The sequence below is a fragment of the Homo sapiens genome, chromosome 17, assembly GCF_000001405.40.
Source record: "Homo sapiens chromosome 17, GRCh38.p14 Primary Assembly".
Taxonomy (NCBI): Eukaryota; Metazoa; Chordata; class Mammalia; order Primates; family Hominidae; genus Homo; species Homo sapiens.
Window position 1 is genome coordinate 60,251,804 of NC_000017.11, and position 25,261 is coordinate 60,277,064.

A 25,261-nucleotide genomic window follows, 5' to 3' on the forward strand; every position below is an offset into this window, starting at 1 on the left:
AAGAATAATAGAGAATGAACAGGAATGCTAGCCAATCATTTAAAATTATATTCAAAGAAGGCTTTATTCTAATATATTAAAGTATTATTTTATATGATCTAGAGTGAAAATAGGAGCAGGGAATAAAGTAGGTATTTCAGAATATTCCCATTTTTATATGAATTTTACAAATATCACTGTGGGCATATGTTTATATGAATATTAAAAATGTCTACAGCAATTATCTATAAATTATCTATAAAATCTTTCTCTGCTTCTTTTTGTTTAGCTCTATTTTCTAATTTTTCCAACAATAAACATATTTTTGTACTAAAGAAAACTGGCTACCTTTTATCTCATTTCAAAAAATGAAATTTAGTATTCAGTGCAATTTTAATGTTAAATAGAATTTGCCTTCTTAATTAATCTATAGTACCTTCCCTTATCTAGGAAGGTACTTTAACAAAAATATTTCAATATGTAACTATTTTTGAGAAATAGTTAATGATTACATTAAAATAGGACATGCTGTTCCTCAGTAACCAATATATTTCAAGTATGTGAAATTTCAACTATATAATTGAAACTACAAATTTACCTAATAATTTGTCCTTCTTCTTCCGGAGTAGCTGGTCTTAACCCCAGAACTATGTGACACACCTAGGGAAAAAAATGGTAAATCAAAGTTTATTAACTGCATAATATTTCACATTATCTGCATGAGACCCATTTCCTAAATTGGAATCTGAATTAGCAACAGTTTTCAACTCATGAATTATCAATTATTCACTTGAGCAAATTTTAACTTTAGCCTTGTGGTTTTGGGGTTTTGTTTGCTTTTTTTAAACAAGCCATTCCAATGGAAGCTAACTTTCAAATCTCTAGGTAAGAAGGGAAGAGAAAGGGAAGGAAGAAAAAGCGAAAGGGGAAGACATTACCTCAGGAACAGATTTCAGAATAATTCTTCTGACACTTGCATATGCTAGATTTTAAATAACCAAAACACTCAGCCATGTGTGAGATCTTGGCAAATAAAAGCATAATTCAATATTGTATCATTAACCTAACAAATTAACTCTATCAATTTTAAAACACAGATAGAAAATAAAAACAATTTAGCATAACTGTCTGCTTATTCATATATTAATTGCATATATTAATTGTACATATGAGCATAACCAAATATGTGACAAAGCACATACAGTAAAATGTAATAAAATTTAGGTGTTGAGTAGATTATTGGATGTTTCCTGAAAAAAACTTTCAGCTTTTCAGTATAAAATGTTGGAAACATACATAAGCAAATATAAAGTATATGTTTATTCATTATCACAAAAATAGTGCCACTCCAAGTCCTTAGTAAGAATGACAAAATAGGAAAGGCAATACCAAAAGTCAAAATGCTATACTCTGTGAGAGCTACAAGATGACTCAGACACAAACTTAAGTGACCAAAATGTTCATACACTGATTATGAGATAAAGAGTACACTGAATATGTTCGTGTACAAACAGCATATGAACTGTCAACTGTACATGAGCAATACATTGAATGTGTTCATGTACTGTTCATACAAAAAGTTCGTACACTCAACATGTGATTGTTATTTTAAAAAGTAACAATAGTTTAATTAAAAAAAAAAAAGCCTACAGAACCTACTACTGAAGATCTTATTTTAAATGAGATAAAAATAGTTGACCAGGCTAGGCTTGGTGGCTCATATCTATAATCCTAGCACTTTGGGAGGCTGAGGCGGGCAGATCACTTGAGGTCAGGAGTTTGAGACCAGCCTGGCCAACATGGTGAAACCTCGTCTCTACTAAAAATACAAAAATTAGCTGGGGGTGGTGGCACACGCCTGTAATCCCAGCTACTCGGGAGGTTGAGGCAGGAGAATCGCTTGAACCTGAGAGATAGAGGTTGCAATGAGCCCAGATCCCAACCACTGCACTCCAGCCTGGGCGACAGAGCAAGACTCTGTCTCTAAATAAATAAATAAATAAAAAATAAAAAATAGTTGACCCATTTTCATGTTACCAAGCAATTCTGTTGTGTTTATAGTGGTGATCTATATTATTTTCATATATATTTTATAAAGCCATCGACTTGAATCTATGCTGAAAATTATAACTTGTAATAAAGCAAATAATTGATTTACAGGCCTATCAGATTATATATGTTTTAAATACATAAAACTTAGTCATTAACTCTCAGGAAGAGACCAATTTCCATTTATTCCAACACAGACGTGTTGCAGACAAGTTATTCTTTGTTTAAAATGGTAGATCATGATACATATAAACATACTAAACCATTCTGACCTTCACAGTGGTGAAAGGAAAATAAAATAAGAAGAAACTAAAATAACCACTATTAAATCAAGTTAAATATTTGCGAATAACTATAAAAATGGGAAAATATAAATTATCTTTAAAAATCAGAGCGAGGGAATTAGTTTAACTAGGACAATAGTTAAAATTTGGCAAGCTCTGTGACTTAGTGTTCACTTCTGGTAGCTTTCCTTCTTTCCTTCCCACTTAATCTTTTTTGGACCTTCTAAAGAATAAAAATTAGGAAACAGCCTCATACCTTCAATGATCTCTTAACCAGAGAGATGGTATACTTTGAAAAACTTGGGCTGGGCGTGGTGGTTCACTCCTGTAATTGCAGCACTTTGGGAGGCTGAGACAGAAGAACTACTTGAGCCTAGGAGTTTAATACCAGCCTGGGCAACATAGCAAGGCCTGTCTCTACAAAAAATACAAAATTACCCAGGCGTGGTGGCACATGCCTATAGTCCCAGCTACTTGGGAGGCTGCGGAAGGAGAATGACCTGAGTCTGCGCAGTCAAGGCTGCAGTGAGCCATGCTTGCACCACAGCACTCCAGTCTGCATGACAGAGTGAGATGCTGTCTCAAAATTAAAAATAATAATGATAATAATAATAAAAGAAAAGAAAAATGTATAGCTACCTCCTTATGATTCATCTTTCTGGTCATACTGCCTTACTTATTAGGAAGGCCTTTTATTTATTTATTTTCTTTTAAAAAAATTCTCTTGGTCAGTCTTATTACAAGGAAGCCCTTTTAAAAAGACAATAATGAAGAAACTAGCAAATTATGATGGCTTTTGCAACTTATTCTCTATATGTCTATGTACTGCTCTATAATGAGTTATAATAATCTACATCCCACTTTCCTATTTCCCACGTCACGATTTTGACAAACTTCAGCAAGCACCCATCTTTCAGACGAGTAATGTAGTTCTTTTTTTTTTTTTTTAATATATGGTTTTGCAGCCTAGATACAACAACTCTGGCTACTATATGATGGAAAAGATGTAGAAGTACTGGTACTACTACCCTCTGTTGCTGTCATTTACCTTAAACATACCTGGAAAAGGAGGTTCAAAAACTCATTGGCAAGAACATTTTTCACACTCCAGATCTGATAGTCTTCCAGAGTAAGATGACCCATCTGAAACAGAGACACTCATGTTAGGAACATCTTTTTTTTCTTTTTTTTTTTTTTTTTGAGACGGAGTCTCATACTGTTGCCTGGGCTGGAGTGCAATGGCACGATCTTGGCTCACTGAAACCTCGGCCTCCTGGGTGCAAGCGATTCTCCTGCCTCAGTCTCCCAAGTAGCTGAAATTACAGGTGCCCGCCACCATGCCTGGCTAAGTTTTTGTGTTTTTCAGTAGAAACGGGGTTTCACTATGTTGGCCAGGCTGGTCTTGAACTCCTGACCTCGTGATCCATCCGCCTTGGCCTCCCAAAGTGCCGGGATTACAGGCATCTGCCATGATCTAAATGTTGACTAACACAGAAAAGTAATTTCTTCCTCTTTACTTTCCTAACTCCCCTACAATGCAGAAGGTAAACTAGTTCAAGTTCGTTCCTGTATGTTTTCCTAAATGCATTCAATAGCAAAATTTTACAATTTGTGGTAATGCAAACATATATGGTTTAATCATATATGGTTGGTAAAATTCACTAAATATCTCTGAATTTTATCAACGCAGTAAGAAATACTGCCCATTTTCTTTAAAAGGTTTAGGTAACTAAATCAACAAAGATGTTCTGGTAACATTATTTGTCCTCGCTTCCTTTTATGCCTCAAATATATTGGTGGCAGTCTGCACTAATAACAAGGAAAATATATACACATATTGTTCTCTAAAGAGAAAAACATTGACTTGCAGAATCACTGAAGTGTATAGATCAACTGTCTTATAATCAAACAACAGACATGTGAGAGATTTAATAGAAAAATCACTGGGCATGGTGGCATGTGCCTGTAGTCCCAGCTACTCCAGAGGCTGAGGCAAGAGGATCGCTTGAGCCCAGGAGCATGAGTCCAGCCTGGGCAACTAGCAAGACACCATCTCTTTGAAAAAAAAAATAATAAAAATAAAGAAAATCCTCCAAATCAGAATAGAGAAATAAGCTAAAGGGAAAGGAAGAAAAACAAAAACTCATTTTTGTTTTTTCAAAAAAGTTCACATTCAAAAAGTAGAAGGCAGGGAGAGGGGTAGGCAAATCACTAGATTATGACTAACACTGAATCACAGAATCTTTCTTATCATGATCACTTTTCAAAAAATTGTCCTGTTCACTTACAGCAGAGGAAGTGCTGTGATAAGGTTTTTGTTTTTTTTCCACCCAAATCAGTACAGCAGAGGTCCTTGAATAATGTTTCATTCAATATCATTTTATTATAATGTTAATGGGGGAAAAAATGGATTCCCAGCTGGGGCCACTATCTGTGTGGAGTTTGCATATTCTTTCCATGTCTGCATGAATTTTCTCCAGGTACTCCGGTTTCCTCCCACATCCCAAAGACATACACGTTAGGTTAACAGGAGTGTCTAAATTGTCCCACTGTAGTGTGGTATCTGTTGCTGTGAGGAAAGGAACATCAATGCCTGCACCACGGCAACAGAAGAACTTCAAAGGCTATGTAAGATCTGCCAATCTCCCAAATCAAGTATACAAAAAACTGGTGAAGAGAGGGTTTGAATTCATACTTATAGGTGAATTCTGGATTGGGCCAGTCAACATTAATCAACTTATTATTCCTCACAGATTTCTATTCTCCAGAGTATCCAGGTCCTTCCCATAGAATAAAAAACACTGACCAACAACGTGATTTCATCATTCTAAGAAATATATTGATAAGAACACACATGCAGAACTTGAAAGATGTTACTAATAATGAAGAACTACAGAAGCAGAAAACCGGCAGCTGTGACATAATGGAGTTGATAACGTTACCAAGCAAAGGAGGCTTGCTGCCTGATGAGACAGAAGCCAATACTCTGATGTTGGGTTTTTGAGAAAAGCAAAGGTTTTCACTATAAGCCAACCAAAAAGGAGATGGGAGTCCAGCTCAAGTCTGTCTCCCTGTGCTTGTTTTAAGGCAATAATTTTATTAAAAAAGCCTTATAGGGTGGATTCTGGGATTGGCAGATGACTGGTAGAAGGAGAGGATTGGAAAGTCCTTCGGCATGCACAGTTATTTCTTCATGTTACTTCGTGGATCACATGTGCCAATTGGGGGGAGTCAGTATGAAACACACAGTGGGAATTAGCAAGCTCATTCTGCGTAAACTCTACTTAGCCATATTGGTTCTAGCCAATTCAGCCAGTTTTTAAAATCTCACAGTGGAGAGAGGGTTAGCATTTCAGCAAGTTGTTATTTATTTTATTTTGTTTTCTAAAAAAGACACAGGGTCTCACTCTATCACCCAGGCTGGAGTGCAGTGGTGTGATCACAGCTCACTGCAGTCCCAAACTCCTAGGTTCAAGGGATCCTCCAGCCTCAGCCTCCTGACTACAGGCACAGGTTACCAAAACTGGCTTAAAAAAAAGAGAAAAACACAGAAAAACAAGGTCTAGTTATGTTGCCCAGGCTGGTCTTGAACTCCTGGCCTTAGGCAATCCTCCTACCTTGGCCTCCCAAGGTGCTGGGGTTACACAGGTGAGAGCCACCACACAGGCCAGCTTTTTGGTGTTTTTTTTTTCCTTCAATCTGCTATTCTGCAAACTCAAGGAGTTCTGCTGGTTATCAGTTTCTTACTCTTTGGGGAACAGTTTTAGTTTCAGCTTCTTACTAAGTTGCTTTTTTTCGTAGCCTCTATCCTGTAAGCCCAAGAATATAGTCATTGGTTTCTTTAACTCTTTAGGGCACAATTTCAATAACAAAATAAATGGCAGCTTACTAAGAGTCTTCCTCTGGCACAAATGGAAGAAGAAAAAAGGGAGCAAGCAGATAAGATGAAGAAGATGGAGATCAAGACAGAGCAGGTATTTGAGATGAAGGTGAGTAAGTAGTTCAAAACCTGAGGGACTCTGAAGTTGAGCTCCAACGGTGCCATGAAATGATGCAAATGAAAAACATGAAATGATGCAAATGAAAAACATGAAATGATGCAAATGATAAATGAACATTACGTTCACTTAATGCAAATAAAAAACAATTTGGAAGCACAGCAAAAAGAATTAAGAGAAAAACTGTTGTCAGTTTGAGGATGAGTAAGCAAACTGGGAAGCTCAACAACGTATTTTAGAACATCAGAACTCTTCAAGAACCTTGGCAAAGATCAAGAAGAAAGGGAAGGTCTTTTAAACTCTCTACTGACCAAGAGTTACATATTAGTTGCCAATATGCCATTATGCACATCAGTGTTTGTTGGATCCCTTTGACCAATCTGCATCAGCCATTATGATGGATTTAACAGCGTGACAAAAGTGACTTTGTTGTTGATCCTGATGGAGATTAAGATGCCTTGAATTGTAGGGTGTTGTATACTTAGAAAGTAACAGCTCTAAGTACCTTTCCTACATTTTCTTTTCCTTTTTAAAAAATTAAACAGATATCTTCAATTTAATGCAAGAGAACACTTCGCTGTTTTACAGTCATATTCTGGCAGTTTGAATGTTTACAGGACATTCCAAAATGAAATGACTCTGGAAGGTTTTGATTGAAGATAAATTGCCATAATATGAGGCAAACTATGCTTCTCTATGATAACTATAATGCAAAGTTCCATCTCATGCAGCATATACAATAAGGTAAATTAGTCTAACACAGGTGACCCTATTTTTTGACCTTTCCATTCTTTAAAAATACACATGGGAAAAAACCCTATATGCTTACAGTGCACCTAGAACTACTTTTTTACACAATCCTTTAAATATATATTATTCTTATTTAGTGGCCCCTTTAGCCAGAATCTCATTATTGCTTCATTTTTGTAATAACACTTAAATTTAGGTATTTTCCACATATTGGCCCAGCTAAAATAGAATATAGCATGTTTCACATGGTAGGAACCAGCAAGGAAGCTTTCCTTTAGCTCCCTTTACACATTTTATGGTAAGTAGCAGGAGGAAGGAGGAAGATGCATTTACAGATCACTTCTAGGAAACACTGAGAAGATAAAGACCAACCTGCGGTCTCTTTAGTTTACTAGAAATAAGAATCATGGCCTTTTAAAGAGAAGAAGTCACTATTTTTCACTGAGCTGTATTCATATATAGCATATATGCCCTTTTTGTTTGTATTGTAAACAATTCACGTAACAATGCTGTGATGTAAAAAAACAAAAAAATGAAAAAATTAAATAAATTGTCCCAGTATGAGTGAGTGTGGATATACGTGTGAGCGCGCCCTTCAGTGGGATGGAGTCTTGTCCAGGGTTGGTTCCTGTCTTGTACCCTGAGCTGCAGGGATAGGCTCTGGCCAGCCACTAACCTGAACTGGAATAAGCGGGTTGGAAATGAATACAAATTACCATAAAATAACAAGTATGCAATGATCATACAAATGCATGATAATAAATGATATGCTGAGAAAGTACTCAATGAGCCTCCCATATTTGTTATTGTTAGTTTTTGAACTGCAAGGTGGTAGGAGGTGTTCCTTATAATTTTCATTTTGCAAATTTATCCCTTGATTTAACCCATCACCACTATGACTGCTGCTGTCACTCACTAATTCACCAAAAACTGGGTAAATAATTATCTTGTTTTTATCAATCTTTCTTAGATCTGTTTATAGTTCACATTTATTTCAAAGCTTAATATTAGAAGTGCTTGGGGTCTTTATTTAGAAGTTTGGTGATATTTTTGTGACTAGAAATATGCTGTAGGAACTTAACTCTTGTTTGCCTATGGTAAAATTAGTTTTGTTCTATACCCTTTCACTTAAAGTTGCAGTTTCCAAGAACCTAAAGACAACATTAAGTGAGTACTAACTGTACAAGAAGTTAAAGGCATCTGGAACTGTAATACATTATGAACAAAAGAATCTTTGACTTAAGAGACCTGTTGTTCATATTACAATGCTATCAGAACCATCAATTACTAGATAACCATCCATCATTAGTATTCCTCTTGCCTTTGAAAATGACTTTTTGGCTATAGCAATATGGTTTTAAAAGATACAGGAATAGGCTGGGTGCGGTGGCTCATGCCTGTAATCCCAGCACTTTGGGAGGCTGAGGCAGGTGGATCACCTGAGGTCAGGAGTTCGAGAGCAGCCTGGCCAACATGGTGAAACCTAGTCTCTACTAAAAATACAAAAAAATTAGCTGGGTGTGGTGGCGGGTGCCTGTAATCCCAGCTACTCAGGAGGCTGAGGCATGAGAATCATTTGAACCCAGGAGGCGGAGGTTGAAGTGAGCCAAAATCACGCTATTACACTCCAGCCTGGGTGACAAGAGCAAGACTTTAAAAAAAAAAAAAAATACAGGAATAAATCATAGCATAATCATAATGGAATACTATGCAGAGGATAAAAAGACTAAGTTAATCTATATATAATTTTCTATCTAGCATATGAAAGATGCTTAGTAAACATTTTACTAAGTTTATGAAGTAAACATTTATTTACTAAGCATCTTTCATATGCTAGATAGAAAATTATATACAGATTTAGGAAAATTCAGAAAAAAATTATTGCATAATCGCTTATACAGTATTATTCAATTTTTAAATATAGAACACACACACAATACATATAAATTTCTCCTACACTTGATAGTAGTCAGAATAGTATATCTTCCCCTCTAACATCCATTGAGAATAACTAAAATTTTAATTCTTAAAACAAAACAAAAAAAACCCAGAAGAACTGCAAGCTCTGCCACATCATGTATCTCAGTCATGAGGAGGCAAAAGAGAAACATGTCACATAACTTAATGAACTCTACGGGTGAGGATATGATCTGATAAATTTCAACTCATTCAGGAGTTTTACACTGAACAGTCACGACTAAAATTCCAGGACAGAAAAATGAAGAATGCCAACAGAGGGAGAAGCTATGTTGAACATAGGCTATATTTCAAAATGCTACTTGTTTATCTTTGAAGTAATAATTGTCAATGATTCTGCACTGATGACAAAATTAACAGCTAGTGTAAACCCATTTTAATTTTATAGGACTCAGCATCTAGAACAGATAGGAAAATCACAGTGAAATATGAAAATGTAATAACTTCTATTAATTTTATTGTTTGAAAATCTAAAATGCTACTAATAAAACTAAAATAAAGGCTGTTTAAAAAGTACAAATGTAGGCCAGGCACGGTGGCTCACACTTGTAATCCTAGCACTTTGGGAGGCCAAGGCGGGTGGATCACTTAAGGTCAGGAGTTTGAGACCAGCCTGGGTAACATGGCAAAACCCGTCTCTACTAAAAATACAAAAATTAGCCAGGTGTGGTGGTGCAAGCCTGTAATCCCAGCTACTTGGAAGGCTGAGGCAGGAGCATCACTTGAACCCAGGACGTAGAGGTTCCAGTGAGCCGAGATCATTCCACTGCACTCCAGCCTGGGTGACAGAGCAAGACTATCTCAAAAAAACAAAAATAAAAACAAAAACAAAAACAAAAAAACAAAAAAAGGACAAATGTAATTTGATATGTGTGATAAATTATTAATACATGGTATAAGAACCTTTTATATCTAACAGAACAAAATATAAAATGCTCAAGATGGTAAAAAGTATTTTTAAGATGATAATCTGATTCTTTTATATAACCACAAATATTCAAGGAACAATTTTCAGGTACACTGACCTCAAAGATATGTTAATACTGTCCAAAAGGAAAGAAACGTCATGAAAAGAAATAATAGATACCACCGTACAGAATCATCATGCATACAATGATGATCAAAAGCCCATTTGCTATACTGACACCTGAGTAATAATTAACACACTGTAAAAACATATAGAGCATTATGCTTAAAATCTAGAACTGTAAATGGATTTTATTTTCTCCCAATTTAATGGATGTTTTACTGACTGCAGTTAGGACTACTGCTAAGCAAGGTATCATATGAACTTTTTCTAAAGCAAATTCACTGACTATATGGCTTATTTATTTTGTTTTATGTATGTATGTATGTATTTATTTATTTGAGACAGAGTTTCACTCTTGTTATTCAGGCTGGAGTGCAATGGTGTCATCTTGGCTCACTGCAACCTCCGCCTCCCAGGTTCAAGCAAAGCTCCTGCGTCAGCCTCCTGAGTAGCTGGAATTACAGATGCCCAACACCATGCCCGGCTAATTTTTGTATTTTTAGTAGAGACAGGGTTTCGCCATGTTGGCCAGGCTGGTCTCGAACTCCTGACCTCAGGTGATCCGCCCACTGTGGCCTCCCAAAGTGCTGGGATTACAGGCGTGAGCCACCATGCCCAACCTATATGACTTATTTGTAAATGTCCTCCGTTTAAATGTGGCCCTGATTTTCAAAATAGTGTCAGCTGATCACTTGCTCTGTTCTACTTGAATCTTTGGAGGTTTCTCCATAGTTTGGTATAAAGTTCAACTCCTGAGTTTTGTACCCAAGGCCCTTCAAGATACGTCTCCAATCCAGGTCTACAGCCTTCAATATATGAATCTGTTATTCCAGCCACATCAGAATATTTGCAGTTCTAGGACTACACAGGATGTTTTACTGTACAGTCCTATACAGTAATAATGTCTTCTATTCTACCCCTAGTTGTTACCTCTTTTAGGAATCACCTTTCAACTTTTTACTTCTGTTAACCATAATTAACTAATTATTAAAGTGCCACATCCCAGCAGAAATCTTCTGGACTTTCAAAGTTCAATTTACATGGTTCCCTTTCTATCCTCTCACCGTAATACTTGGTGCTAACCTTTTTTTTTTTCCAGACAAGTTCTCATTCTGTTGCTCAGCCTGTAGTGCAGTGGTGTAATCATGGCACACTGCAGCCTTGACCTCCCAGGCTCAAATGATCCTCTCGCCTCAGCCTCCCTTGTAGCTGGAACTATAGACATGTGCTACTGTGCCTGGCTACGTTTTTTCTTTTTTTAGAGATAGAGTCTCGTTATGTTACCCAGGCTGGTCGAGAGCTCCTGGGCTCAAGTGATTCTCCCACCTCAGCCTTCCAAAGTGCTGGGATTATAGATGAGAACTACCATGCCCAGCCTCAACTTCTAACATAGCCCTGATCACACTTGTCTATCTTTACCTGTATACTACAAACTATCCAAGGGTAACATCTAGATCTCTTGAGCCACTACAGAGTATCATTAAATAGTCAACAGATGAATTAGATAAAACAGAGAAGAGTTGGAAGTCAGAAAAAGAATGAGTAATGTTGGTACAATCTAGTCACCAGCGAATATGGTTAATAGGCTTGGTTAAAAAACCCAAGTTCTATCCCAAACTATTACTATTTCATTATCATGGTTACATGGAAATGAAGCAGCTAAATGATCTTGTTTAATGTTCACAGAAGAGCCAGAAGTAGAAACTCCATCTAACATAAAAGGCGACAGCAAAAATACCTACATACTTATGAAACACTTAGAAAAAAGGTGTTCAAAATTTTATCTCTACACAAGGCATTTTCTAACAGAAACTTTTCCTGGTTTTTGTTCTCATACACACGAAATAGAAGTCGATACCTTAGTTTCTGGCAGAGAGGAGAAAGAAGGGGACTGAATTGTCAAAGCTCTAGCCTGAAACTCATTTCTATTATTTGTTTCTATTGAGAATCAGTTAATAGGGCCATTAACAATTTCTTCTGAAATTGTGATTGAAGAAAGAAAAAAAACTGACGTTCTTTATTTATTCTAAACCTCTATTTAATAACACCATTGTGGTGTAGATCCTACCAATCTGCGACTTGGTACATGTCAATGCTTCAGTAGAAAGACTCCAATTTATGCAAATGTGTCTCATACAGGTAATTTATTTTCAATTTCACAGGGACACATAGACATCATAGTAATGCAAGCTATAGGAGTAAATCTATTATGATAACATTACTAATAAATGTTACCAAACTAAATAAGTCAAGGATTTTTTTTTAATTTATAAAGTACATGTTTATTTTTGCTATTACATGCTTATTCTGGCTACCACTAAAGGACACAGGAGAGGTCCTTACCACAACCATTTAAAAAAATTTTTTAGGCCAGCACAGTGGCTCATACCTGTAATCCCAGCACTTTGGGAGGCTGAGGCAGGACTGCTTGAGCCCAGGAGTTTGCAACCAGCCTGGGAAACATGGCGAGACCTGGTCTCTACAAAAAAAAAAAAAAATTAGCTGGGCATGGTGGTGCACACCTATAGTCTCAGCTACTCGAAAGGCTGAGGCAGGATTGCTTGAACCCAGGAGGTCGAGGCTGCAGTGAGCCAAGATCCCACCACTGCACTCTAGCCTAGGCAACAGAGCAAGATCCTGTCTCCAAAAAAACAAACAGACAAAAAAAAAAACAAAAGAAATTTCTTGAAAGAATAGATGTACTGGCCAGGCGCAGTGGCTCACGCCTATAATCCCAGCACTTTGGGAGGCCAAGGCAGGGAGATCACTGGAGGCCAGGGGTTTGAGATCAGCCTGGCCAACATAACGAAACCCCATCTCTACTCTAAAAATACAAAAAAATCAGCCGGCATGGTGGCACACACCTGCAGTCCCAGCTACTTTGGAGGCTGAGGCAAGAAAATCACTTGAAGCCGGGAGGCAGAGGTGGCAGTGAGCTGAGATCCTGTCAGTGCACTCCAGGCTGGGTGACAGAGCAAGACTCTGTCAAAAAAAAAAAAAAAAAAAAAAAAAGAGAGAGAGAATATATGTACTGCCAGATTAAGAGGAAAAAAACATTTCCATCATCTCAGATATCCTTACGGTTGTTCCCAATTAATCTGCACACCCCTGAAATCACTATTCCAACTTCTATCACTATTTGTTAGTTTTGCTTCTGTGTTCTTCGACTTCATATAAATGGAATCATACAGTATATATTCTTTTTTGTTTGACTTCTTTTGCTCAATATAAGGTTAGCCTTACCACAACTTAGTCAAATGGAAGAAATACAGATGATAGGCTATAGTTGCCAAGGGCTCTGTCTACATAATTCTTATAAAATGCCTAGCTTATAATAAATGTTTTCACATACAGTTTCAGAGTTGCTTAAAGATGGAATGGCTCTCTTTGGAGATAACTTGGAGGTGTTTTACCCACAGGTCCAGATAAGTACTTGGTAGGGAGGATGCCAAAGAGATTCAAGCATGTATATAAGCGATACATCCCAAATGGAGTACATGATATTTTTAGAAAAAGATAAATTAGTTCTATCTAGACTCACCTTTGTGGTGTCATGTGCATTCAGTATGCCTTCTACAATATCAGAGAGATCCATATGTAATTCCTTTAAAAATAACCCAAAGGAGTAATTAGAAAACAGTGAATATACTTTTAATTTTGTTATTCAATGGCTAAAGTATATTAAGCAAGATTTGTTTTGCTTTTCTTGTAGAGATGGGGTCTCCTTACGTTGCCCAGGATTATCTCAAACTCCTGGGCTAAAGTGATCCTCCAGCCCTGGCTTCCCAAAGTGCGGAGATTCCAGGCAAGAACTACTGCGCCCGGCCTTGCTCAAGTATTTTTATAATTACCATAGATTCTCATATATGATTAAAAATTAAGATAACTTTCCTATGGTTTCATTCTTATTTTACATAGTTCAGTTTAAGATTTTCTAAGCCAAACTCTCTTTCCAATTTTGCATCTTCAGCTATAAATATTTTGAGTAGCATAATGTAGTAACTAAAAGCAGTAACAAATTATTTTATGCTTTTAAAGAAAATGATTCCCTCCAATTTCCCATTGGAAGTTTATACGCAACAAGACATACACAATCATAACTTACAGGAATATCATCAGTGCGGTTGTCCTTCCAGACTTCTAAAAGTGCAACCACCATGTCTCTCAGTTCAACCCTGGAGAGAACTCCATCACGGTCAACATCAAATACCTTGAAGCAAACTAATGAAAAGAAACTCTTATGGAGGAAAATCATTTTTGTATTCTGAGGTATAATATATTTTACTAGAAGTTGCCCTTGTATAATTACTTAGTTTTTAAAGCAAGTATATGTATTCTGGAACAGTTCTCATCTGTAATAAACTATATTATGTCATTATAGTCCTCAGAACTTGTAGGACTTCCTGCATATCATGAATCTGTATCTCTAAATCATTATTCAGATATAAGACCCTACCCTTCAGCCAAATCTAAAGCTAAATGCCTTACAAACTGTCAAGAAAGGGCGAAGTTACTGTACAATAAATATTACAATACCTTACAAGTTTTTAGGAAGTAATGCAAACCCCTAGGTTAATTTCTAATATTGAAAACTGATCATTGCAGAGTTGTTTCTTGTTCTTCTTTTTGTTTGTTGGAGATGGAGTCTCGCTCTGTCGCCCAGGCTAGAGTGCAGTGGCATGATCTCAGTTCACTGCAACCTCTGCCTCCCGAGTTCAAGTAATTCTCCTGCCTCAGCCTCCCGAGTAGCTGGGATTACAGGAGCACACCACAACACCCAGGTAATTTTTTTTTTTTTTTTTTGAGATGGAGTCTCACTCTGTCGCCCAGGCTGTGGTGCAGTGGAATGATCTCAGGTCACTGCAACCTCTGCCTCCCGGGTTCAAGCAATTCTCCTGTCTCAGCCTCTGAGAAGCTGGGACTATAGACACGTGCCACCATGCCTGGCTAAGTTTTTGTATTTTTAGTAGAGACGGGGTTTCACTGTGTTAGCCAGGATGGTCTCGATCTCCTGACCTTGTGATCAGCCCATCTCAGCCTCCCAAAGTGCTGGGATTACAGGCGTGAGCCACTGTGCCCGGCCAATTTTTGTATTTTTAGTAGAGACGGGATTTCACCATGTTGGCCAGGCTGGTCTCAAACTCCTAACCTCAAGTGATCCACCGGCCTTGGCCTCCCAAAGTGGTACGATTACAGGCATGATGCACGGTGCCAGGCCAGCAGAGTTGTTTGTTTGCTTAAAATATCCTATTTACAGCTGGGCATGGTGGCTCACGCCTGCAATCCCAGTACTTTGGGAGGCCGAGGTGGGCGAATCGCGAGGTCAGGAGCTCGAGACCAGCCTGGTCAACATGGTGAAATCCCGTCGCTACTAAAAATACAAAAAATTAGCTGGGCGTAGTGGCGGGCGCCTGTAATCTCAGCTACTTGGGAGGCTGAGGCAGAATTGCTTGAACCCGGGAGGCGGAGGTTGCAGTGATCCAAGATCGTGCCCCTGCACTCCAGCCCAAGCAACAGTGCGAGACTTCGTCTCAAAAAAGAAATCCTATTTATATCAAGAATCTTAAGCTGATATAAAGACAGTCCACTTCCATGTTACCTTTCCAGTATAACTAATGTACATTCAATCTTTTTTTGGCAAAAACAATTTTAACTCTTTTTTTTTTCTTTTTTTTGAGATGGCGTCTCGCTCTGTCACCCAGGCTGGAGTGCAGTTCTCAGCTTACTGCAACCTCCGCCTCCTGGGTTGAAGCGATTCTCCTGCCTCAGCCTCCCGAGTAGCTGGGACTATAGGTGTCCACCACCACGCCCGGCTAACTTTTGTATTTCTAGTAGAGACAGGGTTTCACCATATTGGCCAGGCTGATCTTGAACTCCTGACCTTGTGATCCGCCTGCCTTGGCCTCCCAAAGTGCTGGGATTACAGGTGTGAGCCACCGTGCCAGGCCTTTTTTTCTTTTGAGACAGAGTCTTGCTGTCTCCCAGGCTGGAGTGCAATGGCGCAATCTTGGCTCACTGCAACCTCCACCTCCCAGGTTCAAGCAATTCTCCTGCCTCAGCTTCTCAAGTAGCTGGGATTACAGATGCCTGCCACTGCACCCAGTTAATTTTTGTATTTTTAGCCGAGACTATGTTTCGCCATGTTGGCCAGGCTGATCTTGAACTCCTGACCTCAGATGATCCACCTGCCTCGGCCTCCCAAAGTGTTGGGATTACAGGCGTGAGCAACCATGCCCGGCCAACAATTTTAACTCTTTAATGAAATTCAAACACAACATGCTAACAATTAGAACACCAGTGCTTTGCTATTTAACTCCAAATGAATCATTCTAGTTTAACTTCCATTAGTTCATCAGCAAAAAAAGAAATTAAAACAAAATTTTTTAAGACAACAATTAACTTTAATGGAAATGCAGAGCTGGGCATGGAGGCTCATGTCTATAACCCCAACACTTTGGAAGGCTGAGGTGGGCGGATCATTTAAGGCCAGAGGTTCGAGACTAGCCTGGGCAACATAACAAGACACTATCTCTATTTAAAAAAAAAAAAAAAATTAGCCAGGCATGGTGGTACATGCCTGTAGTCCCAGCTACCTAGGAGGCTAGGATGGGAGGATCCATTGAGCCCAGAAGTTCAAGGTTACAGTGAGCTACGATCACACCACTGCACTGCACTGGACTCCAACTTGGGCAACAGAACAAGACCCTGTCTCAAAAAAAAAAAAAAAAAAAAAAAGATTTTAGCTTCCTCATCTAAGAGCAAATTGTAATGGAAACAACCAAGCCAGTTTGAAATAGTGGTATAACAACAGGGAATAAAAATAGAGATTTGAATTTTTAGTTGAAAAATTATTTCATATACCTTCATAATAGAATTATGGCTATTAAATCAATTGAGCGCATCATAGTACAACAGTACTAAATACGATAAAAATATTGAACACCACACCCAAAATATGCAACATTTGGGAAGATTTATTTTAGAAAGACGTGGAGATAATGACCCCAGTAAATATATTTGAGTTAGGTTCCAATTAAATGTAAATGCCTGCATTTTTACAAATATGGTTAAGATTTAATAATGGAATGTATTTATGCTTACAAATTATGCTACAACATTTTAGTTAGGTTAAAAAAGATCATTTTAGTATTTGACAAAATTAGTTTTGACCATAAATTTTCTTTTGCCAATGAAATATTAATCTGTGCCAGTGGATGGAAAATGAGTTATGCCTCAACTTATGTAAGACACAAAATTCTACCAGAAAAATATTTCCTAAATGTTTAAAATTTTCAATTACATCATAGCTGATCTGATTCATTTATCATGAATTACAAATTCTTCAGGAAAATCAACTCCATTGTTAATAGCAAATATCCCAAACTATTCCATAGTAAAAAAGAAGAGGTGATTGATTCCTTAGAGTGACCTCAGTAAAACCCTAACATGAGATTAATATTTGTTAATCTGACAAAGTTATAAAAATTCAAGCCTTAATCCACAGATAATTTTACATTGATGAAAACTGATTTTCTCTCTACATAGTTTGCAATTTTTTGACAATGTTTAACACACTTACATTTTTGTCTTTCAGCCAGGGGTCCCCTGCAACAGGCTGATAACCCACAGGATATCTCCTTAAAATCTATGTGATTGTCACGATTTTCATCAAAAGCATTAAACAAACCTGTAAAATAGGAAGAGATGCCATAAATCACAGCCAAGCTTCCTAATGTTAATAATGACATGTTTACAAAAGGAGGAATGACTCTTTCCCATAAACTGACTGAATTTTTTTTTAAGTTTATTAGTAGTTCCTAATGTTTCAGGAAGTACCTCTTTCCTCTTGGTATAATTATAATTGAAACTTGTGATCATGGCAGAAAATACATTACAATCCTTTAGTGTTTGGTTATGTCCATCTATATTTATCTTACATCATTTTTAATGGCTAAAATGACTATTTTTGAAGTCAATAAATAAAAATTAAAAACCAAAAAAAGGTCAGAAATTGCAACAATTATCCTTACTTAGAAAGACTAAGAAGAAAAAGGGAAAAAAGAAAGAAAAACTGAACTGCTTATTAAATGAATACTCGAAGATACACTATGGTATCATTAATAAGCTCCCATAAAGCTCTTTCATAAAGCAAAGGAAGATACACTATGCAACATAAGAGAAAGAAATTCTCTACTACAGTGTCTCTTTGTACTGTTGAATCTTTTATACATGAATATTTTAAATTTCACAAAGGGAATTTATAATCTAATCCTGTGGTTTTCAAACATTTCGTAAAAAAAAGAAATGAAACAATTTTGTTTTCAAATGAAATGATACATCAATCCCAATTCTAAAAAGGTAAAAACACAATGCACTGTTGTTGAAGTAGGTAGAAACCCAGAGCCCTATCTGCCCTGGCTCCCCTGACAAGTACTTCCGAAGTACTCTAGAAATTTGAAGAATACAGATAGTATATTCCCAGAATCTAACGCAGTGCCCTCAGTTTAGGGATTAGAAAACTAAAGCTCAGAGAAAATTACATGATTTGCCAAATATAAGTTTTAAAAGGTGAGAGCTGGAAGCAGAACCCAAGTATTCATATTCAAAATATGATTTTTATGATGTGCTCACAATTATATTTGGACTCCTTATTTTTAAAAAAGTAACAGCAGACTGGGCGCAGTGGCTCACGCCTGTAATCCCAGCACTTTGGGAGGCTGAGGTGGGCAGATCACCTGAGATCGGGGATTCAAGACCAGCCTGACCAATATGGAGAAACCCTGTCTCTACTAAAAACACAAAATTAGCCGGGCATGGTGGCACATTCCTGTAATCCCAGCTACTTGGGGCGCTGAGATAGGAGAATCGCTTGAACCCAGGAGGCAGAGGTTGCAGTGAGCCGAGATGGCGCCACTGCACTCCAGCCTGGGCAACAAGAGCAAAACTCTGCCTCAAAAAAAAAAAAAAAAAAAGTAACAGCACTAAGTTTAGAGCTAGAGAGCACCTCGGAGATGGTCTAGTCCAATAGTTTCTTCATCTTTTTTTGGAGGGGAGAATACAGCAATGGAATCTTCTTATGTAAAAGAAAAAAAGTAGAGGCACCCTACTGGAGGAAGAGACGAGGTCATGTGTGGAAACATGGAGCTCTGCCCATTCAGTGGCCACCACATGACTCCAGGCACTAGCTACTAATGCACCTTACTGGAACACAGTATCACAACCACTGCCTTGGTCAAACACATTTTATACATGAGCATGCTCGGGTGCAGAGAGCTAAACTGATTTATGCAAGGTTATAACAGGTAGAATATCAGGCTCAAGACTATAATAATAATTCCCATTTGTTTTTCCCCACTCCATTAAACCTGCAAACATATGAGAAGATGGTTTCTTAGAGTTAAAATGTATTGGTTACAAATATGAGATGGGCTCAGGTATGTTTACCAGTGAACATATGTAGAAAATGGAATGATCCCTACCTTCACTTAGAGATGGACGAATAGGTGGTGAAACCAATGGGCCAAATGTCTCTAAATCAAATCGTCCAGTCCGGGATTGAGCCTTCAATAACCAATAGCGTTTCTCAAGATCAATGATGTCTGATTCCTCCACTAAGGGTCAAATCAAAAAAGATTATAAAACCTCAGAATTCTCTTCTCAGGAGTTCAGTTCATCCTGATAATATATCTTCCACAGATATATTTTAGTTTCACAATTCAATTGCTAAAAAATAATCACGACCAAAAACAAAACTGAAATTTATTATATCCAAAATGGTAGGAAAATTAAACCAAAATAAACAAAATGAAGCTTTAAAACAGAAAAAAGAAATCTACAATTCCCCATTTAAGTAGGCTGTTAAATCCAACATTTAAAATAAAAATTAAGCTATTTCTTTTGGGTTTCCCACACCACTTTTACCTGTACTGATTTTTTTTCTTCTTTTTTTTTTTTTAAGAGACAGGGTTTTGCTCTGTCACTCCCAAGCTGGAGTGCAGTGACACGATCATAGTTCCCTACAGCCTCAAATTCCTGGGCTCAAGCCATCTTCCCACCTCAGCCTCCCAAGTAGCTAGGACTACATGTGTACGCCACCACATCCAGCTAATTTTTTAAAAACTTTTTGCAGAGATGGGGTCTCGCTATGTTGGTCAGGCTGGTCCCAAACTCCTGGTCTCAAGCAGTCCTCTCACCTCTGCTTCCCAAAGTGTTGGGATTATAGGTGTGAGCCACTGTGCTCAGCCATTTTTGTTTATTTTCAATCTCTATCTTGGATTTAAAGTTTCTATGTACAGCTTCTCTCCTGGCTAGACTGTAAACATCATAATGGCAGGACCTATGTCTGATTCATCCTGTCAATACAATTAATGACTTACACATTCAATACTTATTGAATAAATGAAAAAAGTCAGCACTGACAGAGAAGATGGAGTAGGAGTCCCTATGTGATAGCAATAGCAAAGCCATGAAAGCATGAACACCTGTCTCTCCTCATTCCTCAGAATATACATCAAAAATCGCAAATAGGCTCTAAACCATTTTATCTGTGTTTGTTTTTCCTCCAAGGAACTAAAGTAAAATTTACAAAGCGTACATAGGACATTTATTCTCAACTAAACACAGGAACCAAAGTGATCCTGTTAAAATATAAATCTAGAAATTTCAAATTCTGTCTATAATGGAGTAACTAGCACCAGACTTCACCTCCTACCACAAATTACTAGAAAACTGTATGAAATATATAAAACTATTTCTAGAAATTAGAGAATAAGCAGCATAGAACGGTGAACCTTGAGAGAGAGGAAACAAATAAGGTGAACCCTTTCATTACCCTGGATTTTTTCCCCACAGTCACTTTCCAGACCTAAACAAGGGATGAGTACTGTAAGCAGAGAGATTTCATTGAGTTAAGAAGATAGGTTGGAGGTAAGGTAGCTGAAATTTGCAAAACAGAGTACTGGAGAGGAAAGAGTTATGCCAAGAAAGGGCTCCAGAAATCTGCACATGTGTCTTACTGAGTTTTGGCAGAATAGTAAGCTGTGTATACATGAAGTGAATACAATGAGGCTGGGCTATGTACAAATGCCGGGAAATTTGTTTTGTTTTGTTGTTGTTTGAGACAGAATCTCACTCTGTCGCCCAGGCTGGAGTGCAGTGGCGTGATCTCGGCTCACTGCAACCTCTGCCACCCACCTGGGTTCAAGAGATTCTTGTGTTTCAGCTTCCCAAGTAGCTGGGATAGCAGGCATGCACCAGCATGCCTGGCTAATTTTTGTATTTTTAGTAGAGATGGAGTTTCGCCGTATCACCCAGGCTGGTCTCAAACTCCTGGCCTCAAGTGATCTGTCTGCCTCGGCCTCCGAAAGTGTGGGGATTACTTACAGGCATGAGTCACCGCACCCAGCCCAGATGCTAGGAAACTGTAAGCTAAAAAAGTCCTAGAGCTCATACAGGGCTGGGAGATGTCTGAGTTGTGACCAGCTGAAGTGGAAACACATTGTTGGACATTGGGAGCATTTGTGAACTCCAGAGGGTCTCTACTTAATAAACAGAGAAAAACTAACTCTAGAGTAAAGGCTACTCTAAACTTGTCCCAACAAAGCTTACAAACAATCCTGGAAAATATGGTGCTGATCCACAAGTAACTTAACTGCCTATCAAAATAAAACACAAGTTCCTTTTTTAAAGAGAGACAACAATCCAGATGCTCAGATACGTAACATCCACAATGTCTATCATCCAAAGAAAACATGAAAGTAGTAGAAAAATGTGACCCAAAATCAGGATTAAAAATTAGTCAATAGAGGGCTGGATGTGATGGCTCATGCCTGTAATCCCAGCACTTTGGGAGGCCAAGGTGGGTGGATCACTTGAGGTCAGGAGTTCGAGACCAGCCTGGCCAATATGGTGAAACCCCCATCGCTACTAAAAATACAAAAATTAGCTGGGCGTGGTGGCGGGTGCCTGTAGTCCCAGCTACTCCGGAGGCTGAGGCAGGACAATCGCTTGAACCTAGGAGGTGGAGGCTGCAGTGAGCCGAGATTGCGCCACTGCACTCCAGCCTGGGGGCAACAGAGCGAGACTCAGTCTCAAAAAAAAAAAAAAAAAAAAAAAATTAGTCAATAGAAAAAGACCTAGAAATAACAGATGATGTAATTAACAGGCAAAGCTTTAAAATGTCTATTGTAAGTATCTCAGGAATTAAAGAAAAACATGCCTATACTAAGGAAAGAAATGGCAACTATAAAGAAGTATCAACTGGAACTACTAAAGATGAAAAATACAATATTTGAAATTTAAAAAAATTCCCTAGAGGACTTAACAGCCAATTATAAACTAGACAGGAAAGATTAGTGAGCTTGAAGGACAGGCAATAGAAACTATCTAAATGATAGCATAAAGAGGAAAAAGGCTAAAAACGTATTAGAATCTTAGTGACCTATAAGATAATATCAAACATACATACAATTGGGATCCCAGAAAGGGATAGGCAGAAAAATATCTCAAAAAATAATGGCTGAAAACTTTCTAAAATTCATGAAAACTATATTCCCACAGATCCAGAAGTTCAATGAACCTTGTGTTAGAAAACTCAAAACCCTAACAAGGCAAGTCATAATCAAACTGGTGATGAAGAAAAAAATCTTAAAAGGAGCAAGATGGGGGAAAAACACATTACAAACAAAAGAACTAAGATAATAATTTATCTCCAGAAAAAAACCCCAGAAAGCAACAGGGAAGAAGTACTGAAAAAGAAAACAAAATTGTCAACCTCCAATTCTGTATCACGTGAAAATATTCTTCAAAAATAAATTCAAAGTACAGATTTTTTTTTTTGACAAATGAAGTGTTTTAGCAGAACCACACCAAAAGGACTATTAAAGGGCATTCTTCAGACAGCAGGAAGACCAGTTAAGTATCTATGTAAACAGAATAAGGCTAACAATGTTACTTCTCTGCCTCAAAACCTTTCAATACTTCCCCATGATCCTGCATGGCTTACACCCACAACTCCTTCAGATCTTTACTCAAATGTCACATTCTCAGACCATCCAAACCACACCACCTTCAAAGATACTCCTCTATCCCTCTTCCCTGCTCTACTTTACTCCATAATACTTATCAACTCTAATATAAAATTTATTCATTTGTTTTGTTTATTGAGCATCTCCCTTGATTAGAACATAAGCTTGAGGGCTGAGTTTCTGGTATGTTTTGTTCCCTGTTACAGTCTAACACCAGAATAATATCAGGCACATTTTGAGCACTCAATAAATAAGTTTAATGAATAAATGAGAAGTATTGGCCGGGCGCGGTGGCTCACGCCTGTAATCCTAGCACTTTGGGAGGCCAGGGCAGGCGGATCACCTGAGGTCAGGAGTACAAGACCAGCCTAGGAAACATGGTGAAACGCCATCTCTACTAAAAATACAAAAATTAGTGAGGTGTGGTGGCGTGTGCCTGTAATCCCAGCTACTCAGGAGGCTGAGGCAGAAGAATCGCTTGAACCTGGGAGGCAGAGTTTACAGTGAGCCGAGATTGCACCACTGCACTCCAGCCTAGACAACAGAGCAAGACTCCATCTCAAAAACAAACAAACAAAAAAGAATTATTTGTTGAGCTGTTTTATACATACATACACACACATACCCCCACACCCCTCTTCAGGATAATGCTAACTGTGATAAAAGATAACAATTAGTACCAGACATGACCTTGGCATCTAGTAACTTTCATTTATTTATTTATTTTTCCTGTTAGGTCAGTTTAGCAAAGTAACTCTTAAGTTACCTGGAAAGATAAGAACAAAGTTCCCTAAATTTCCAGGGCCTTCAAAGCATTTGATGTATTTTTTTTCCAAGACGGAATCTCACTCTGTTGCCCAGACTGGAGTGCAGTGGTGTGATCTTAGCTCACTGTAACGTCTGCCTCCTAGGTTCTAGCGATTCTCCTGCCTCAGCCTCCTGAGTAGCTGGGATTACAGGCACCTGCCACCATGCCTGGCTAATTTTTTGTATTTTTAGTAGAGACCTTGTCTCTATTTAAAAAAAAAAAAAAAGTATGGAGCAATAAAGATAAAATTTTCACAGAGGAATATACACTGTGTCATATAGTTTTGCTTTTTAAACTAAGTAACTAATTCACTAGATTGTAATCGCCTGATGGGTCAATGTTTGCAAAGGTCCAATTACTTTGGAATGGGATCTAATTTTTAAAATATATAACGGCTGGGCGTGGTGGCTCACACCTATAATCCCAGAACTTTGGGAAGCCGAGGTAAGAGGATTGCTTAAGTCTAGGGGTTTAGGACCAGCTTGGGCAACATAGTGAGACCCTGTTTCAACTTTTTTGTAATAAAATAAAAAATGTAAAACTCATACTAAAGAATGCTGTTTTCGTTTTTTAATGCTGAAGTATCTACTTCAAATATCCAGATAACTGAATTTATTTAAAAGGAGAGAGTATTTTAAAATTTTAGCAATAGGGAGAACAACAAAGGAATCTGATATATAAATTGAGATTCCTAAATAAGATGTCTGTCTATTCCATTTATGATGCTAAAAAGAAAAAGAAGCCTCTTTCATTCCTCCAGAGAAACACTAGCTTTTTCAAGTTCTAAACTCTTCCAAGTAGTAGATCAGCATACAAAAAAATCTAACCCTGAAACAAAAGGAAGATAGCAGTCTTGACGATAGAAACTGTTCTTATTTCTATACTTCTCAGTATTGAGAATATAATAGGTGTTCAATAAGTACTTCTGATTAATTGGTGTTTACATAATACAGTAAATTGAAACACAGAAAAATCATATTAACTGTGATTCTTTTTTTTACTTTGAAAACTATGTTAATCAATCTCCTTAAAAAACACAATTTCTTTGCTGAAGCAGAAATGTGGAAAGACAAGTAAAACATATTTACAAGAAAAAAATGATCAGATTGGTCATGGTCACCAGTGAAAAACATCCTTTAGTGCTGACGTTTAAGTGTATGTGATCTGTTCATTTTCTGGATATAGACTGCACATTCCTCAATCAAACATTTGTCAAAAGCAAGCTAAAGTAGATTACATATACATATATATATATATATATATAAAATTACCAAACATTTTACATGAATTGGCAGCTAAATTACTAGGAAGAGGGAGTTTAACTAACCTTATTTTCACTTACAGAAGTTTGAAGCAGTAAT

The 25,261-nt window shown here is 37.6% G+C and overlaps 1 protein-coding gene and 1 pseudogene across 13 annotated transcripts in view; one reads left to right on the forward strand and one right to left on the reverse strand.

The window, feature by feature from the left end:
- Nucleotides 1–25,261, reverse strand: part of USP32 (ubiquitin specific peptidase 32) — a 245,090-nt gene that overhangs the window by 74,477 nt on the left and 145,352 nt on the right. For 12 of the 13 annotated variants that reach the window (XM_011525372.2, XM_011525371.2, XM_011525376.2 and 9 more), the window contains 6 exons: nucleotides 19,547–19,678; nucleotides 17,647–17,754; nucleotides 14,173–14,288; nucleotides 13,609–13,671; nucleotides 3,372–3,455; nucleotides 578–639 (listed from right to left, as the gene is read on the reverse strand). In XM_011525372.2, coding sequence (XP_011523674.1) covers nucleotides 578–639; nucleotides 3,372–3,455; nucleotides 13,609–13,671; nucleotides 14,173–14,288; nucleotides 17,647–17,754; nucleotides 19,547–19,678 — 565 coding nt within the window. Of the gene's footprint in view, nucleotides 1–577; nucleotides 640–3,371; nucleotides 3,456–12,456; nucleotides 12,541–13,608; nucleotides 13,672–14,172; nucleotides 14,289–17,646; nucleotides 17,755–19,546; nucleotides 19,679–25,261 lie in introns of those variants that run through there. The other variant, XM_047436945.1, reaches the window with a different exon arrangement.
- SEPTIN7P12 (septin 7 pseudogene 12) lies at nucleotides 4,886–6,605 on the forward strand (annotated as a pseudogene).